This window comes from Homo sapiens, chromosome 2 (assembly GCF_000001405.40).
Source record: "Homo sapiens chromosome 2, GRCh38.p14 Primary Assembly".
Classification (NCBI taxonomy): Eukaryota; Metazoa; Chordata; class Mammalia; order Primates; family Hominidae; genus Homo; species Homo sapiens.
The window spans coordinates 39,681,348-39,701,601 of NC_000002.12; the positions used below are offsets into that span (position 1 = coordinate 39,681,348).

At 39.4% G+C, this 20,254-nt stretch overlaps 1 protein-coding gene across 8 annotated transcripts in view; it reads left to right on the top strand.

Moving 5' to 3' along the window:
• Positions 1-20,254, top strand: part of TMEM178A (transmembrane protein 178A) — a 70,478-nt gene that overhangs the window by 15,865 nt on the left and 34,359 nt on the right. Inside the window, exon 1 of one of the 8 annotated variants that reach the window (XM_017003371.2) lies at positions 16,547-16,644. The exons of the other annotated variants lie outside the window; for them this stretch is intronic. The gene's annotated coding sequence lies outside the window, so the exon portion shown is untranslated. Of the gene's footprint in view, positions 1-16,546; positions 16,645-20,254 lie in introns of those variants that run through there. 8 annotated transcript variants of the gene reach the window in all.

The following is a 20,254-nucleotide window of genomic DNA, read 5'->3' on the forward strand; positions in this document are numbered from 1 at the left end:
CAGAAGACAGAATGTATATGATCTAAGGTATTGAGCATACCACCTCATGTTTGCCCTGTCATAAGCATTTTGGTCATTCGGAAGACTTAAAAGATTAAGAGGAGAAAAATGAAAGTGTTCAATATAGCTTAATAGAACTGTACTGGACAGTGATGGGAAAGAGGGGGAGAGAGACACCTCCGTGGATGAGGACCATCACATATTGGTCTTCGAATTGGTGTCTTGATTTGGAAATATGTTTCTTAGAATTTTTTTTTATTCTGTTGGGATTTTTGTTTGTTTGTTTCATTCTACTAGCAGTCACACTAGGGAAGAGTCTTACAAAATCCATGGGAGACTATGAACTAGAAAACTGAAATTACTCTGTAGTAGCCATATGATGAGTGCATTAGTCATGGAATAAAAGAAAAAGCACCTTAAATTTACACAGCAACTTTCTCTCACAAAACTCAGAGCAGTTTTTACAAAGGGAGAAAGGAGCCTTGTTTCCTGACTAAGTGTATATGATCAGGAGAATAACATTGGAACTGCTGGTAGTTATCACCTGTCTACAGTGGAGATGGTGTTCATGTACTCCAGAGGGAGAGGAATAGGAACCCTGAGAACCAGGAGCTGTAGGCCTGGCCTTGGCTCTTCCTGCTCCCTGTGGGACATTGGCAAGTCATTTCAACTTCTCTAGACCTCAGTTTCTCATTTTAAAAGTGAAGGGTCAGACTTCATGCTTTCTAACAGTTTACCTTTTTATTATATTTTATGACTTACTTGGAGCATCAGGAAGTACAGAATGAGTTTTCCAAATAGCTAAAACCTACCTCTCTGTGCATCAAAACTTGTATTTATCAAACTGGATGAATATATTCATTCAGTGCATTATGCACATGTCTGCCTTCTGAAACAGAGAGCGCTAATTTTAACTTTTGCTTAATGACTCAAGGTTATCAGTGTGAACTATGATGTAATGCCTAGGTTCCCTTAGGGAATGCAGAGGTTTGTAGAACTATTTGCCTTAAAACTAAATGATGCAGTTTACTATGTTTTTTTTTTTTAAATATTGTGCTTGTTTTGATTTTTTAAAATGCTTATTGCCTTCCTAAATATCGTATGCTTCTGCTTCTGTTGTCTGCCTCTGGCTGTCCCTTTGAATATTCCACTTTGCTGCTTCTGCTGGCCCAGGAGCCAGGGGCCATAGATGAAGCAAGTAGATACTAGGTCTGAAGTTGGGGCAAATAGTTCCCAGGTGAGGTTTCAGGAGGTACTCCTGCTAGTGAAGACTTTGGGACATTATTGCCACTGCCTGGGGCCTTTGAGATATTTTTCTGTGTTCTAATGAGAGACCCTTAATAAGTACACTATCAAGGTATATGGCATTTACTATTTAGAGAATGATGTAAATTTTGTGGCTCTCCTTCCTAGAGGAGAAAATGAGGATGAAAGCAGGGCAAGAATTACATAGCCAAGGGACCTCAAGAGGGCTCAGAAATATAAATGGGTCACAGGGTCTGTGAAAGTGTCCAGATGACTGACAGGTGTGAGCAGATCTCATTTGTGGGGCATCCCACACAATTCTCCTCTTCACAGCCTGGGCTTTCCAGCCAGTCTCTAACATGACAGCCCATTACCACCTCCTCAAGATAAAGCAGATACAGGGGGATGGCAGTGGCAAAGGCTGAATTAGGACCCATGGATGCAGAACTTCTAGTTAATTGTTCTTCTATTGATCTTCAGGACTACTTGCGGTAGATTAAGAAAATTTAAATTGGTTATTCATTTTCTCTGTATTTACAGGCAAATGCCACTTTATTAGCTTGCAAAATACGGTGTCGTCCATTTCAGCATAAATCTGGACACTGACTAATTTGCACTTGTTTAATCTGCAAGGCTGGCAATTTTGGGAAGCCTCCTACCTCCTCCATCGTCCGTCCCCATAGTCTCACCTCACCCATCCAGCAAAGCCGAGAATGTTATTTTAGGCTATGGAAGCCATGTTAAAAATACCACTGGGTTTCTCTAAGCTTTTCTGAAGTTTTAAAAGAAATAAATAAAAATAAGGCCAGTCTCACATGGGGCTCTCCTTTGCTGTATTTTCTGGGCAGTCACGGAAGAGAAGTAACATGCCCTGCAATCGGATCTGGTGCTGTTCCAGGACACAGCTTCCCTGTCCAGGATGTGGACAGGAGCTTATCCCAGGCAGGATAGAGCCTGGAAAGTCTAATATATGCAGCTGTAATTTCACCTAAGATTGGGTATTTGTAGTTCCTGAGGGTGATAGGGAAGTGTTGGAAAAAGCCACGAGGTGATCAGCAATTAGGGAAATAGGGCTGTATGCCACCTATTTTGGCACTGCAGTTAAGTATGCCACAATCGTGTACCACTTGCATTAGCTTTTCCCTTCCTTTTAACACAATCAGTATGGATGAGGATGGGCACAGTGTGGAAGCAACTTCTGCTTTCTTCCCTTCTAATATCAGCCCCCTCCTGACTTCTAGAAAAATACTGACGTACTTGAGATCAGGCTTCTGGAATTACAGTTCCTTTAGCAGTGCCTTATTTATTGAAAGCTTTGGATTGACTTCTTTATTGATTTGGGCTGATAATCATGCAGTCTGTTGGGCTGTTCCTAATTATTTGGTTATCTTAATTATTGAATTATGTATGATCTGTTCTGTTCACGTAACTTTTCAGCAAAAATAATTGAACCAGCTGAAGAGTGCATGCATCTACCTAGTTCTGATCTGCTTCTGCCTCTAGCCTTTTGTGTCATGTTAAATGAATCATTTTGCTTCCATGTTTTTATTTTCTCCTCTGTGAACATAGAATGATATTTATCTTGTGGTTTAAGATTTAGGGTTGCTAAATATCAGGTGCTATCAAAATGTAAATTATTGCTATCAGTTTGATAGGGCCATTCATGCTGACTTCATGGAGTTTAAATTTTTTTTTTCTGATTATGAACTTTCATATATACATGCTTATTGTGATAAATGCAGAAAACTGTAAAGAAGGAAAAAAATAATCTGTTATCCTGCCAGTTAGTTATATAAACCTGTTAAAAGATTTGTTTTCATTCAGTCTTTATGCTAATGTATACACAAACATATTATTTGAGATACTGTGAAATATACTGCTTTGTATCGAGCATTAAGCCACATAATTTTCCAGTTTTGATCATTTTTAATATCTGCAAAGTATTTTAATGTGTGGATGCATAGCCACCTATTCCCATATGTCCTCATATCCCTTTCTTACCCAACTGACAGAACCATCTAAAATAAACTTGATCATATCACCTCCTTGCTTAAATCCTTCTGCAGCTCCTGATAACTTACTGGATGGAGTCTTGTTGCGTGGGGGAGGGAGCTCTTCTCCCCCGGTCCCTGTCGACCTTTCCTCTTAGCTCTTTATTTCTCATCACTCTCCCTCTCATGCTTTTTGCTCCAGCAATACTGAACCTCCTGTCAGTTCCTATAAACAACCCTGTCCCCTACACCTTCGCTTTTGCTGTTCCTCTGTCTGGAACAGCCATTTACTTCCCCCAGTGCCACCCACACGTGCCCCTGGACCCGGCTGAGTTTGACAAAGGAAGGATTCTCCAACCTCCTCTCACTGGAACCTTTTTCTCTTGGCAGTTTTGTATTGGCCTGTTTATATTTCCATCCCTTATATTACTGCCTCTAATCTGTTCTTCATGCAAGGGCCACAGTAAAATGTTTTTTGCTTGTTTTAAAAAATCAATTCTGATCATGCCTTTTCCTAGTTTATAATCTCTGGTGACTTCCATTGGGGTTCCCAATAGAGAGCAAGTCTCAGCCCAGCCTTCATTCCCTCCATGGTCTAGCCGCCTCCTTCCTTTCTAGCAACTTCTTCAGTGATGCCCCCTTACTCTCCACAGCCCAGGCCTGCAGGTCTTCCTGTTCAGGAGTGAGCTGCTCTCTCACCACAAAACCCTGTGCATGCTCTTCCTTCTGCCCTAAAGGATCATCTTGCTTATCCTGGGGATGTCAGCCCTCTTCCTGTTATGGCTCAGGCACCCTGTTCTATGATTTCAGAACACTCAGTACTTCTCCTTTATGTCAGAGTTGTAATTTGACATCTCTTTGTGCTAGTCTTTCAATAATGCCCCTGTCCTTCTCTAGACTCTAAGCTCTGTGAGGGTAGGGCTTTTGTTTGTTTTCATTCATTTTATAGGTAGGATTGAACTGAGTGAAAATTACAAGGTCTAATAGGTGAGGCTCTTCAGTAAATCGGGCTAGATAAGACTAGTTAAGTTAGATGTGACCAAGTAAGGTAAGGCAGGAAGCATGGATGAAAGGTGATCATGCATAAGAAGTGCCTGGTCTCTTGTACTACTTGGAATTCCAATGAGATAAACATTATCAGCCCCATTTTTCACATTAACTAAGACTCAGAGACTTTCTCTGCTGCAGGTAGAAAGCTACCTAATGGGTAGTAGGACCATGATTATTAAGCCAAACTCCAGGATAGGGAGGCTGTGTAGAATGAAGAACATGCCAGGCCATCTCTGAGGAAGTGACAACCTCCTGGTCTGCAGTTTGTAGAGCTTGTGTTTGTTTGTGTGTCTCAGGAAGTGTTTTGGCTTACTGTGGGTCTGAAACCAGCCAGGCTGTGAAGTGGGGCATCCAGAAGCAGGGAGCGCTGAAGCCGATTTCACCCCTGCACATTCGTGCCTTGGTGACTAGTGGTGCTCTCTGAGACCTTTTGCATTGCCCTACACACATGGGGGCAGCTGCTGGCCAGGGTGCCAGTCCTCAGAGAGCAATCTACTGAGCCCTGAGCAGGAAGTCACCAGGTGCTCAGACTTTGGAAAATTCACGTACTTCTGAGCCCTGCAGGGAAACAGAGGTGGGCTTTCTACTCCTAGCCCAAGGCTCTTTAGTTACCCTTGAGGAGTGGCGAGGACTGTGGGATGCCCTAGAATAGTGGTTGTCCAGCCCCAGGCTTGGAATATCAAACAAAGGCACAACAGAAGTGTTCTGGTAAAAGGGGATAATCCATAAAGGATGTTGCCAGAGAGTTTTTAAAAATGTCTTCAGAATTCTCTTAAATTAGGTTTTTTTTTTAATTACCTACTTATCCTTCAGAAACTTGGAACAGCCCCATTTCTTATCAACATATTCCTTGTCAATTTTGCACAGGCACCGGCTTCTGGTGCCGAGGGTGATGCTTAAGTATAAGGCAGCTGGAATGTTTTCCCCTTGGGTTGAGGGGAGTGATAGGAATGCTGATGTGCTGCAGCTCTGGGCTACGGATGGTGGCTGGTGGCAGAGGGGAGAGCCTGAGTGCAGTAGGCAGTAGCGTCTGGGGGCAGGATGGGGAGAAGATGGGGGGGCGGAGCTGTAAATGACAGAGTGAGTGGGGGCTGGGTGCTAACCTCTGATTTTGGTGTTCCTCTAAACTCCTCCTATCCACTGATTCTTAGCAGTGAATTCCCAAATAGCTGATTTAAGGGATGCTTAGGAAAACTGCCTAATGGCGCTTTTTTCCCTCCTGCCTGGTTGGCTACGTCATCATGCTGCTTGACATAAAATTAGGGCTGGAAATGTTTTGGGGGCCTGAGATGTAGGCTAAAATGTGGCAGAGTATATGTGCACATATGCATGTGTGTGTGTGTGTGTGTGTGTGTGTGTGTGTGTGTGTGTGTGTGTGTGTGTATTATGAGATGCAGTGAGTAGGGTAGTAAAGTACCGGTCTGGACTGTCTGCAAGTTGTCTCACCCTCTCCTTCTTGTCCAGCCAGGAAATCTGTGTGTCCTTGTCAGGATTAGATATGATAAGGATGGGTGGTAAACAGAAAGAGGATCATACCTCCCCTTCATGCTGTCGTCAGAACTGGACCAGATGGCTATTCATATTTTAGGGTCAAGCACCTGATAGTTATTTGGACTGTTTGAACTATGTGGGGTGGGTGGGTACGTTCAGGTAGGAGGAAGTATAAGGAATTCAGTTTAGAAGGCGCAACTGTGGGGATGGGCCCCCTTTTCCCCACTCATAGAGAGATTTCTGTCTGGAGATGTCAGTTCCACTTGGTCAAGAGGAGGTTTTCCCTTCCCATCCTCACCAGGTATTGAACCCCTAACTCCCACCCCTGATGTGGGGCTCATGCATGTCTAGGGCTCTGAGGTTATAGAGAGGTGGAGTCACTTCCCTGCATGTCCCCCATTTCCTGCACCTTTTTCATGCTTCCTAGTCACTTCTGTGCCCCTTTTCATGGTTTTCCTCAGCTCCAGTCAGGTGTTCAGGCACCTGAAAACCAAGCAGGGAAAGGAGCTTTTCTATGCAGAGCTTGATATAGGGATTTCCTTGAGTCTGTTTCTGCTTCAGTGTGGGTAGAAGGCAGCATCAAGGTATCAGTGTGAAAGCAAAGGGGATGGAAATGTACAGATTGATATGATAAAGGCAATGCCATGTGTCAACACAGGCCTGCCTGCTCTGTCCTTGTTCACTTGAAAGGGTTAACTGGGCATGATCAGATGTAGTCATAGTGATTCTTAACTGACAAAGTCTGTTTAGATATCTAAGAACTGATTTTGGAGGCAGATGCAAATTCAATCCCATCTATGTCACTTGTTAGCTGTGGGACTGTAGGCAGATTATTTAACTTCTCTCAGCCTCAATTTCCTTCTCTGTAAAACAGAGGTAACAATAGAACCTATCAGATGAGGGAAATGTCAGTAAAGCTCTCAGCACAGAGCCTGGCATATAGCATACTTTTAGTAAGTTATTATCAGTCCTGTTTAATTATGTGGCCTTTGGCAGGCCATTTAAGTGCTCTATGCCTTGTTTTCCTTATTTGCAAAAGAGGAAGAATGTCTTCCTTAGGTAACTAACAAGGATGTATGAGAAGGCACTTTGAACAAAGCATAACATGCTATATAATCAATAAAAGCAGGATTATCATTTTCCTAGAACTACACTAAAGCAATTCTGGTGGTCTCAAAAGTGTGCTTATCTGGCTGCAGACTTGGGTCGTGATTTAGAGATGCCTGTGGAGCTGCTGGAGGAACTAGACACATGGGAAATAGTGATAAAGGCTGCTAAAGACAGAGGGCCCTGCCCTGACTGTCACTTCCTGCTGCTGCCACTAATGGCTTTGGGATTTGGCTTCTTCCTACCATGAGGCTCTTGCCACTGGAAGGTGGTGAGTGCCATCCTCAACTCTTGTTGCAGCATCTAAATGATAACACGTCTAATTTGTACACTTTATTGCCCTTTTCCTTCTTTGACTCTGGTACTAACCAGGCTATCTAACTGTAAGAGGGTGGGCTGAAAAAGTAAAAGGAAATGCAATTCAGTCTTTTCAACTTTGCTTTATCATTGCTTAACTTTGATTATTGCTTAGAAAAAGTTGAAAATATTGTTCATAATCAGTTCAGTATTTTTTTGAAATTGATTTCAATTATCTGTAAAAATTCAGAAATACAACTCTGTCAGTTAACGAGCCAGCTATAGAACAGATTCTCTTTGTAGATCCTGAAGTCCAGCTTGAAAGGAGCTCCTAGTTTCCATTTATCTTGCTATGTATCTATAACATATCCCATCATAAATGCAGCAGCCCATCTAGTAAAGGGGACATGAGAACATTGTTCACGGTATCAAATATGTTTAAATTTTTTTCACACTCTGAGCAGAGCTATTGCCCTTGTCTATATTTTCATAAATTAGCTGTACCAAATGCCACTTTCCTATTCACCATATACAGTAGTAATTAGTCAATTCAGCTTGATCCAGAGTTCATTTTCATAAAGGAAACAAACTTTTGAAAGTGTAGCTCAATACGAAGGATTCTATCAAGACACCTGGAAGGGACCAACAGTATATTGTTTTTAAGGATAATTTGCTCTGGAACACTGCCAACCCATGCTAAAATGTGCAGCCTTTCTCCAGTAAGTTGCTCTTTTCTGAGTATTTGGGAAATTGCTAAAGCCATTAATGTTTATGGATCATCATGTGGCAAGTAGGAGATCTCTTCCTCCCCTTTTCCCTCCCCATTTCAGAGATCTAGTTTAGTTTCATTTTGTTAGTTTTTAGTTTTTGTGGCACCATATTCTAGACTCAGAAAGCAGATCATCTGTCTAAAAGCCATGTGCTAAATAAATGTTTGTTGAATGAATGAGTGAAAGAAAGAGTAAATAAAATGATTGACTTTTGAATGCAAAAGTAATGATTGACATGGAAATAGAATGATGGTTGCTAGGAGCTGGAGAGGAGCAAATAAGGAGTTTTTGTTTAATGTGTACAGAGTTTTTGTTTTCAAGATGAAAAGAGCTCTGGAGCTGGATGGTGGTGATGGGTGCACAACAATATGAATGTATTTAATCCACAGAACTGTACACTTAAAAGTGGTTAAGAAACAGTGATGTTAGCAAATGAAAGAATAGGCGGTTCCAACCCTGAAAGCCACACAAAAACATTGATTTTGACAATTATCCATGTTAAGAATACCCCTGTGGTAACTCAGGAGTCCAGTGGAGAGATTCTAGAACCCCATTTGAGAAAAAAAATCTGAGAATAGATACCTTGAAGAGGAGAATAAGAACAGTTTCACCTTACCTGTGTCACATCTCTGTCGAGGTGGCACAGCTCAATGCCAAGAGAGACCACCTTGGCCTGTGATTTTTCCAGTGGGGTAGAGAGTGTAGTGACTATCTGATTTCCAGAGCCTCACAGGACGTTGTCCAAGATGCTCGCTTCTGCCTTGCCCCACCCCTAGATCACTAAGGGGATTGGCATGTTTGAATAGTCCAGGGGAACCTAGGAGCAGGGAAGAGAGGCAGGAGCTCACAAAAACCATTGCGTAGATCTCAAAATCTGGCCACAGATCCTGTTAACTGACGGTGAACTCCATCAAGGGGCCCAACCATGAACCCCATGGGATGCCTCACCTGCAGTCACGTGCTCCCTCAACTGGCTGTCATGTGCCCCCAGCTATCTGTGTATATCCCTAAGTGGTGTACACAAGCTTCTGAGATGGTGTGTGCCTGCTCTTTCAGACAGCACGTGAATATCAGCACCTAGCTCAACTCTGGGATGCAGAGAAGGTGTACAAATGTGAACAGTTCAGGACACTGCCGTGGGGAAAATAAAGGGCAGTGCCCTGAAGTGTTGATTAAGTAAAGGCCAGTGTCCTAAGGTGGAATTGAGAGAAGGCCAACAATACTAAGATGCCCCCCACTGCCTGCAAGAGGGAATGAAAGAAGTGGGACAGGTGTGTCCATAAATATGAAGATCATTCTCTCCCTATACCAGTCAGTAAAGACAGGAGGAGGAGACTGCTTCTTCAAATGTGAAAACAGCAACACAAGCCTTCAAGGAAAATGAAGAATCAAGGAAACTTAACACTACTAAAAGAAAAAAATAAAGTCCCAGTAGCTGGCCCCAAAGAGGTGAATATCTATGAACTGCCTGATAGAGAATTCAAAATAGTTGTCTTAAAGAAGCTCTGTAAACTACAAGAGAACGGAGACAACTAAATGAAATCAGGAATACGATACTGAACAAAATGATAAGTTCAGTAGAGATAAAAATCATACAAAGAACCAAACAAATTCTGAAGCAGAAGATACTGTGCTAAAGTGAAAATTCTACAGAGAGCCTCAATAACAGACTCAATCAAACAGAAGAAAGAATCAGTGAACTTGAAAACAGGTCAATTGAAGTGATTCAGTAAGAGGGAGAAACAAACAAACAAAAGAATGAAAAAGTGAAGAATGTATCTGTGACATATGGGATAGTATCAGACAAAATTCCAGAAGGAGCAAAGAAAGAAGAAAGGGACAGAAAGCATATTTAAAGAAATAGTGGCAGAAAACTTCCTAAATCTGAGGAGGGCAGTGAACATCCAGATCCACAATGCTCAAAGAACCCTTAATAGGCTGAACATCAAGAGATCTTCTCTGAGACATATCATAATATAACTGTTGAAAGTCAAAGACAAAGAGAATTTTGAAAGCAGCAAAAGGGAATCCTCATAAGACTACCAGTGGATTTCTCAGCAGACTCCTGCAGGCCAGGAAAGCATGGGGCAATATATTCAAAGTGCTGAAAGAAATTAAAAAACACCTGGCAACTAAGAATACTTACTTTTTAGAGTGCCTGTTGTTAAAACAAAACAAAACAAAAGGTAAGTGTTGGCAAGCATATGGAGAAAAGAGAACCGTGGTACACTGCTAGTGGGAATATAAATTGGTACAACCATTATAGAAAACAATATGGAGGTTCCTTAAAGAATTAAAAATAAAACTACCATATGACCTGGCAATCCCACTTCTGGGTATTTATCCAAGGGAATTAAAATCAGGATCTCGAAGAAATGTCTACACTCCCATGTTCTTTGAAGCATTATTCACAGTAGCCAAATATTCACAATAGCCAAGAAGCAACCTAAAGGTCCATCTACAGATGAATAGATAAAGGAAAATTTTTATATATAGATATATAAAACATTTACATACATATATAAAACATTTTCTTTATCCTTTCATCTGTAGATGGACCTTTAGGTTGCTTCTTGACTAAAGCATACACACATATATAATGGAATATTATTTAGGTTGCTTCTTGGCTAAAGAATATATAGATATACATATATATGTATATAATAGAATATTTAATTCAGCCTTAAAAAAGAAGGAAATGCTGTCATATGTGACATGAATGGACCTGGAAGACATTATGCTAAGTGAAATAAGCCAGTTGCAGAAAGACAAATACTGCATGATCTCACTTATATGTGGAATATTCAAACTCATAAAAGCAGAGAATAGAATGGTGGTTACCAGAGGGTAGAATGGTGATAACCAGGGGCAGGGGGAATGGGAAGATGGATGCTGGTCAAGGAGTACAAAGTTTCAGCTATGCAAGATGCATAGATTCTGGAGATTTATTTACAGCATGGTGGATAGATAACAATATTGTATTATAGACTTGAAATTTGCTAAGAGGGTACAACTTAAGTGTTCTCACTACACACACCCACAAAGGGTAACTATGTGGTGTGATGGATATATTAATTAGCTTGATTGTGGTGATTAGTTCACAGTATATACAGGTATTAAATCATCAAGTTTTGTACCTTCAATATATACAATAAAAATGGCTAAGATGGTAGATTTTATATTATGTGTATTTTACCACAATAAGAAAAATTGGAGAAAAAAAGACAGTGATTGATAGTTGGCTACTTTTTTTTTCTCCTAAATGTTGGAGATGAGGATGAAATTACAAGTACTATGATCCCTAGGTCACACTTTACTTGTCCTGCCTATAAAGGGGGAGGGGAGAGGGAGTAGATGGACATTAACATTTATTAAGCGTCAACTATGGGCTAGGCACTGTGTTAGGACAGTATATATGTATTAGCTCATTTGATCCTCAAGACAATAATGTGAGATTGTGTGACCGCCTATTTCACAAATGAAAAAATATACGCTCAGAGTAGTCAAGTTGATTGCTCTAAGTCACACAGCATGTCCTGAAAACCAGTATTCTAGTTTACACTTTTGCATGATGCTTCTTACATACACACATTTAAGGCAGAAAAAATACATTCCCAAATTTCTGTTAACATTTGGAAGCACGCAGGCTTAATTAACCTTACAATTTAAAGTTACATTCATTGATGTTCACTCTAAAAAAAATTCATCAGGAGGATGAGGCAGGAGAATGGCTTGAACCCGGGAGGCGGAGCTTGCAGTGAGCGGAGACCGTGCCACTGCACTTCAGCCTGGGCAATAGAGCGAGACTCTGTTTCAAAAAACAAAAACGAAAACAAAAATGAAAACAAAAAACAACAACAACAAAAGTCATACAGGAGAGTGAAGAAAGCTGAGGTTTGCTTCCCACCTTCTTTGGATGCTTTCCTGAATCCAAGAGATTTTAAGTTCAGGTTTGTAAAAACAATAGCATTAGACCCATGTACTATTAAGACAACTTTTGTGTTCTGACTATATTGATCTTTCTGAGGTATGTTGTGACTAGAGCAAAAGTAACCAGTAGTGACTGTTAGCCTGTTTTTGTAACATGGGGTCCCATGTGGAAAGGAAAATCTCACAGTGTGTTCCACATGAGCATCCACTGAATTGATGGCTGTATTCAGTTTCACATGAGACAGTGACTCCGGGAACAAGGCACTGGATGGATGTCAGGTCTTGCCTGTGTCTGCCTTCTCTCTAATGGCATAATCAGGTCCCTTTTCTCCTGAGTTGGAGAGAAAAGAATAGTGTCTCTACATTGTGGTTCTCTTGTCTCCTGCTAGAGAGGGAAGAAAAAGGAAAGGAGAAGAGGAGGGCAGGGAGGGAGAATCCTCTGTAAGCCACATAAAATTATATCTTCTCTTTAGTCTTGAGTTGTAAATACTGTACCTGCCACACCAGATAAGTCACCAACTGTATGCCAAGATGGTTCTGAGAAGCTGAGAATCTGATTTAAAATTTTAAAATACGATATTACTTTTTATTATAGATACAATATAATAAGTACATTAAAGGAGATTTAAAAATCAATTCAGCAAGCCAGTGGTCAGCCTAACCCAATGACAGATTCCACTGTTGCACAAGATCATGCCTTTTTGAACACTATTATTTCTGGTTTATTCCTCAGCCACCTTTTTTTTTTTTTTTAACTTCTGTGATGATGTTTACTATCTCTGAAATGGGTTGAATCTGTCTGACTTGTCATTGAACTCTCCCTCTTTGGCCCCTAGAGATAATGTGTTTGCAGTTCAAGGAACTCACCTGAGTCTTGCCTTTAAGTCTTGCCTGGATTTGTTCAGATAAAAAAAGTAGCAATAGTAGTAGTAGTAATAATAATAATAATAATAATAATTAAAGCGAACACTAATAATATTATATTATTATTTCATTTAATCCTCCTTTGAGATAGATGAACTGTCATTGTCTATGTATTGGTGCTCAGAGAGGTTAAATAACTTGCCAAGGGCTCACAGATAGTGAATAGTGAAGCCAAAATGCAAATCCAGCCTGTCTTGCTCCAGAGAGAATATAGAGTGAACACAGATAAAATTTCTTAGTTACCAGGAAGTTGAGTCTCCATTAATAATAAGAAACAATTATGGCAGAACCAGATATAGTATGTGGTAGACACAAGATCTAAACAAAGAATAACCTCACACCTTTCAGGCCCTTTCTATATCAAACATTCTTGCTCCCAGTTGCTTTTGCTTTGGTTGGAGTCTTACTCATTTTCATCTAGTAAACTCCCCTCTCCAGGATGGAAGCCACATGAGACTATTGAGCATTTGAAATGATGCTTGTCTGAAAAGAGATGTGCTATAAGTAGAAGATATTAGATTTAGATTTTGAAGACTTAGTATGAAAAAACTATATAAAATATCTCATTAACAACTTTCAAAGTATTGATTGCATGTTAAATTTAAAAATACTAAAATTAATCTCACCTATTTTTCAATATGACCATTAGAACATTTAAAATTCTTACAATTTGCATTATATTTCTACCGGACAGAGCTGCTTAGATTTACTAATTAGTATCTTTCTCCTTTCAGTTCTGTAGACCTGATGAAAGGTTTGTCCTCAAGAGCTTTGCCTTTGGGACTGGTTTAGCCATTTGAGGCTCTAAAAGTCAGTGTTAAGCCCCTAAACTTACTGTATTTAGTTTATTTATTTTAACAAGGTTAACTGTTTATACCCAATACAGGAGGTGATAAGGAAAGCATTTTTGTCTGTCTGCTTTAGCCCCTGCTTTGCTCTGAAATTAAATCTCTGACCAGAACATGGCTGCTACCCTGTCCTATGACTGCATGATTGATTTTTCTTTTCAAACTGAGACGTGTGCTGGGGAAATAATTCTTTATTTTTCTGCTCAAGGGCCAGCTGAAGAATTCCAAGTTGTCTTTGAAATGTTTAGGAAATGGTGTAGCCTGTTGTTAACTCTTTCTGCTAGAGAACCTTAAGCATTAGTGGTACTGCTATTGCCATCAACTGTTTCAGACATACCTCTTAAATGTTGTAATCCAGAAAAAAGTCACAGCCTCCCTGCTTAAGGAACTTGGGACATTAATGAAGAGGCAGACTTTCTGATCTAGTAGGCAGTGACAAAGACCAGTAATCAAGAGTGAGATGGTGAGGCTCAGCAAAGAGAGTGAGCTATGTGGTCTGCAGTGTTTGGGGTAGGCTTTTCGAAGGCAGTGAGCCTGGAGGGATTAGTAGTTTTTGGACTGTTCTAAAGTTAGTGATGTAGGCTAGGATGGTCACAGAGATGGACATGATGTTGCCAGGGGACAATTTGGGGAGGGAGGGAAGTAGCCCCTGGGAACCAGTCACAGGTAAGTGTAAGTGAAGTTGGAGGTAGGGATAGATGGTAGGGGTCTAGAGTCTGAATTCGATTCAGGGGGAACCCAATTGTATGTTCCTGGACAGAGCCAGTCAATGAAAACCCCAGTCTTATGTTCTGAGGGACCGCGTGTGATTTTCGCATCTTCTGTTGGTCAGTGTGGAAGTTGACACAATGGCAAAGCATTAAAACATTTAAATAAACAATTATATAGTACTTATATGTGTCAGACAATTTATTTTTAAATAAATACATAATTTTAAAACAAATACATAATTATATCATAGCAAGTGAAACTGTTCCTTGCTTACAGTAATCAATTTAAAGCCACATATTAAGTTAATGATACTGTAAAAGGCAGGTAGATGTAACAAAAATCTTAAAGGTTTTCATATTGCATTTTACTGATGGGCAACTGAGACTCCAGAGGCCTCAAAACTTCACACAGCAAATTTATCTAGCAGTGGCATGCAGGGTAGGTTGAGGGTTGAGCAAGGAGGTCAGTTAGCAAATTCTTCAGGAGTGAGGTGATGGGAGTCTTGTTCTAAAGTGGCGAGAATGGAGAGGAAACATGAGAGCTGTTGGTTGGGCCATTGTTCAGGCAGCTGTTGCCATGTGTCTGTTTATTTCTCTGTGCACTTGGGTTAATCTGTGATGACCATTTAAGGTGCAGACTCCTGGTGTGTGGCAGTGGTTCTGTATGGCGAATTGGGCAGGTGCCAAGAGGGAATTCATAATCCATCGCTGACATTATGGAGTACTTACAGTGGGCCACACATCCTATGCTAAGTCCTGAATTACCTCTTTCATTCCTCACCATAACTCAGTGAGGTATCTGCCATTATTCTCCCTCTTTTACAGACGAGGGAACCAAGGCTCAGTGAGCTTCAGTAATTTGCCACAAGTCACACAACTAGGATTCAAACCCAAGTCTGTCTGACCGCAAGGTCTTTAACCATCATGTATACTGCCCGCCTCATTATTGATTGATAGTAATGACTGTTTATAGCATCTTTCTCATGTTTCTTCCTTATTTAACCTCGAGTAGGGGTTTCTATGACTTAGCTTGGAACTCAGTATTGAAAACAACAGAAATTCACCAGGCAAAAAGCTCCATTTCTAACCCCCTGTGCAACATACTTATGTATCTTATTCTATGGTTTATATCATCATTAAAGTGGCTCTACTTGGCCCTTTAAGAAGCTAATTAATCACTAAATATAAACCACAACTTGTTCTTTTCAATCCTCTGCATGTTTCTTCCCCCCATTGTGTGATGCCATCTGGTGCTATGAGCTCATGCTTTTTGTGTTCCTTTTCAGAGAGCCAGATTCATTGCTCTCTAAACCCAGAAAGCCAGTTAATTTCAAAGTTTGCATGTATGACTTTGAAAAAATTGGAATCTAATGCCTCCTTGTGGATTTTAACAGTATAAATTATTCCTTAACATAACACTGCATGGAACTTCCGTCACCATCTATGTATATATATGTGCTTGTCTTTTTATCAGAAAGACCTAATTTGTCTTTGGTTGCTTGATATGTTCTGTCAAGCAACTACAGGTCTTTCCCTGTAAGATTTTTGTGGTTTCATTTTGTCAATTTAATGTGTGTGCTGTAGGGAGCCAAACCTTAATAATATTGCTTTCCTCTTCAAATCTATCTGACTTTCTGCTATGACAGTGGAACAAGTGTTTAAGAACAAGGACATAAAACAGCTAATGGCAGGTCTCTGACACTGCTGGTGAGCTGTCTTTCATTCCCACTTTCTCTTCTAATTCTGCCTGAAGTCTCTAATCATCTTCCAAGGGAGTGGAACACCTGGACCATAGAACATTTTCTTGCAAACTCAGCTGTGGAGCTCTGGGCTTGCTACCAGACCCACACTCTTTGGAGTCCTTGAGTACTGCTTGTTACTGTCAGCCCACACCTCATCATTTTCCCTACCCTCTTGCTCTTTTCATTTCAGAATTCTTGGCACTTTAAATTTAGCCTGAGAGCCCCATGGAGAAGGAAAGGCGATTTGGTGATGTGTGCACTACTTACCTAATTCCTGGCACATGCAGAGGAAGCAGGAGAACCCTGGGCCAGCTGCCACCTCCTTCCTGTTACTCTTCTTGCCCACTGGGATCCTGCCCATTACAAGCACGGAACAGAGGAGGAGATGGGTCTTGAGTATATTTGCAGTGATTTAAAAGGGACCACACATTTCCCTAGCACAGAAGCTGTTCTAAGGCCAGCTCTTGTGAGTCTGAGAAAATAGTTTCTCCCCACTTCACACCCTCTCTCCAGCATTAAGCAGCTTCTGTGAGATGCAGGTAGGATGAAGCCACTGAGTCAGCCATGTCGCCAATCCAATCTCCTTCAATTAAGAATCAGCTTTGTTTCCAAAAGAGCACATGTTGGTTCTAAATTGGAAAGATTGTTTTTTATTTCAAATTGACAGTACATGTAGCAACTCTAGCTTAACTATCCACAAAATTAAGATGCATGTCTAGAAAACTAAGGACTGCTAACATTTCTGAGTAATAGTATTTAATATATAGAGTTTGGGTAACAGCATTTATGTTAAAGCTTGGTTACAACCGAGTAATAGCCTCAGGCTAGTTACTTAACTCTCTGAGCTTCGGATTCTTTTACTCATTTAGTGTAGTTAATAATACCTTTATATTTAGCTCACAGGGTTGTTGATGAGTAGCAAATGGATTTTGTCAAATACTTTTTCTGCATCTTTGAGATGATCAGGTGGTTTCTGACCTTTATTCTGTTGATATGGTATATTGTATTAATTGATTTTAATATATTGAAATGATCTTGCATTCCTGAGATAAATCTCACTGGGTCATGGTGTACAACTCTTTTCAGATGTTGCTGAATTCAGTTTGCTAATATTTTGCTGGGGAATTTTGCATATCTATACATAAGGAATAGTATGTAATTTCCTTTTCTTGTGGTGTCTTTGGTTTTTCATATCAGGGTAATAATGGCCTCATAGAAAGAAGTAGGAAGTTTCCTTCATGCTCTATTTTTTTTTTTTGTTTTGAAGAGTCTATGAAGGTTGTTAATTCTTCCTTAAACATTTGGTTAAATTTACCAGTGAAGCCATCTGGTCATGGAATTTTCTTTGTGGCAAGTTTTTACTAAGTTAATTACTAAGTCAATTTCTTTACTTGTTATAGATGCGTTCAGATTTTCTATTTTTTCTTGAGTCAGTCTTGGAGTTTTATATTTCTAGGTATATGCCATTTTATCTGTTTTATCTAATTTGTTGGCATGTAATTTTTCACTGTGTTCTCTTAAGCTTCTCTATATTTCTCTAAGATTGTTAGTAATAGCCTCTGTTTCATTCCTGATTTTTTTTTTTTTTTTTGAGACAGAATCTTGCTGCCTTGCCCATGCTGGAGTGCAGTGGCACCATCTTGGCTTACTGCAACCTCTGCCTCCCAGGTTCCAACAATCTTTGTGCCTCAGCCTCCTGAGTAGCTGGGATTACAGACATGTGCCACCATGCCTGGCTAATTTTTTGTACTTTCAGTAGAGATGGGGTTTTCCTCTGTTGGCCAGGCTGGTCTTGAACTCCTGGCCTCAAGTGATCCGTCTACTTCAGCCTCCCAAAGTGCTGGGATTATGGGCATAACCAAATTTTAGTTTTGTTTACTTTATCAATTTTTAATTCTTTATTTTATGTATTTCCACCCTAGCTTTGTAATCTCTTTCCTTAGTGTGCTCTTCTTTTTCTAGTTTTTTAGGGTGGAGAGTTAGAATACTGATTTGAGATCTTTCTGGTTTTGTTTTTGTTTTGAGACAGAGTCTCACTCTGTCACCCAGGCTGGAGTGCAGTGGTGCAATCTCAGCTCACTGCAGCCTACATCTCCTGGGCTTAAGCAATCTTCCCACCTCAGCCTCCTGAGTAGCTAGGACTACAGGTGCGTGCCATCATGCCTGGCTAATTTTGTTTATTTTTTTAGAGACAGGGTCTCACTATGTTGCCCAGGCTGGTCCTCAACTCCTGGGTTCAAGTGACCCTCCCACCTCAGCTTCTCAAGGGTTGGGATTACAGGCATGAGCTACTGTGCCAGGCGAGATCTTTTTTTAATGTAGGCATTTACAGCTATAAATTTCCCTCAAAATTATTGCTTTAGCTGCATCACATAAATTTTGGTATGTTGTAATTTTGTTTTTATTAATTTCAAAATGTTTTCTAATTTACTCTAGTGATTTCTTTGCCTTATCGGTTATTTAGGAGTATATTACTTAATTTCCACAAATTTGTGAATTTCCTAAATTTTATTTTCTTATTTATTTCTAATTTCATTGCATTGTGGTGAGAGAACTTACTTTGTATGACTTTAATGTTTTTAAATTTATTGAGATTTATTTTATTGCTTACATATGGTCTATCCTAGAGAATATACTATGTGCACTTGAGAAGAATGTGTATTTTGCTGTTGTTGGATGGAGTGTTCATAGATGTCTCTTGTATCTTGTTGGTTTATAATGTTGTTCAAGTCTTCTGTTTTTTGTTGATCTTCTGTCCAGTTGTTTTACTATTATTGATCTTCTGCCTAGTTGTTTTACTATTATTGAAATAGAAGTATTGATGTCTCCAACTATTATTTTGAATTGTCTATTTCTCCCTTCAATTCTGTCAGTTTTTGGTATTGCATGTATTTTGGGGCTCTATTGGTCAGTATATGTTTATGACTGCTGTATCTTCTTGATGGATAGACCCATTTATCATTATAAAATATCTTTTTTTCTCTCTGGTAACAATTTTTGTCTTAAATTCTGTTTTGTTTGATATTAGTATAGCCATTTCATCTTTCAGTTATGGTTTTCATGGTATATCTTTTTCCATCCTTTAAAATTTCAACCTATTTGTGTCTGAATTTAAACTGTGTCTCATGTAGACATCATGTAGTTGGATTATGTTGTTTTATCTACAATGCCAATCTCTGCCTTTTTATTGGAGTATATATTTATATTTAATATAATTTTTGGTAGGGTAGGATTTATAGATGCCATTTTTCTATTTGCTTTCTATATGCCATATGCATTTTTGTTCCTCTATTTCTTCATTAATGTTTTCTTTTGTGTTAAATACATATTTTCTAATATGGCTTTTTAATTCTTTTTGTTGTTATTGTTTCATTTACTACATATTTTTTTTTTGTTATTTTCTTAGTGGTTGCCCTGTGGATTACAAGTAACATCTTAACAATCTAGTTTGGATTAATACCAATTGAATTCAATAGTATATAAAAACCTTGCTTCTATATTGTTTCATCCCCACTCTCCTCCTCCATACTATTATTGTCATACAAATTACATGTTTATACACTGTATGCTGATCAACAGAGATTTATAATTGTTGCTTTATGACTTTTAAATCAGATAGGAGAAAAAAAGAGTTGCAAACAAAAATACATTTATACTGTCTTTTACAGTGACCTATGTTGTAACCTTTACATGTGCTTTTTATTTTTTAAATATGGGTTCAGTTATTATCCTTCATTTCACCCTGAAGGACTCCCTTTAGTATTTATTTTTAGGCCAGGTCTGCTAGTGATAGATTCTCTCAGTTTTTGTTTAGCTGGGAATATTTTATTTTTTTCCTAATTTCTGAAGGATAACTTTGATGCATATAGGATTCTTGGTTGACAGTCTTCTTATTTCTGTGTTTTGAATGTGTCATCCTATTCCGTTCTGGCCTCCATGATTTCTGATGAGAAATCAGCTGGTAATCTTTCAAAGTTTTTTTTGTGTATATGATAATTTGCTTTTTTCTTGCTGCTTTCAGGATTCTCTGTCTTTGGCTTTCAACAGTTTGATTATGATATATCTGGGTGTGGGTCTCTGAGTTTATCTTATTTGTAGTTCCTTGAACTTCTTAGGAATGCAAGTTCATATTTTTAATCAAATTTGGGA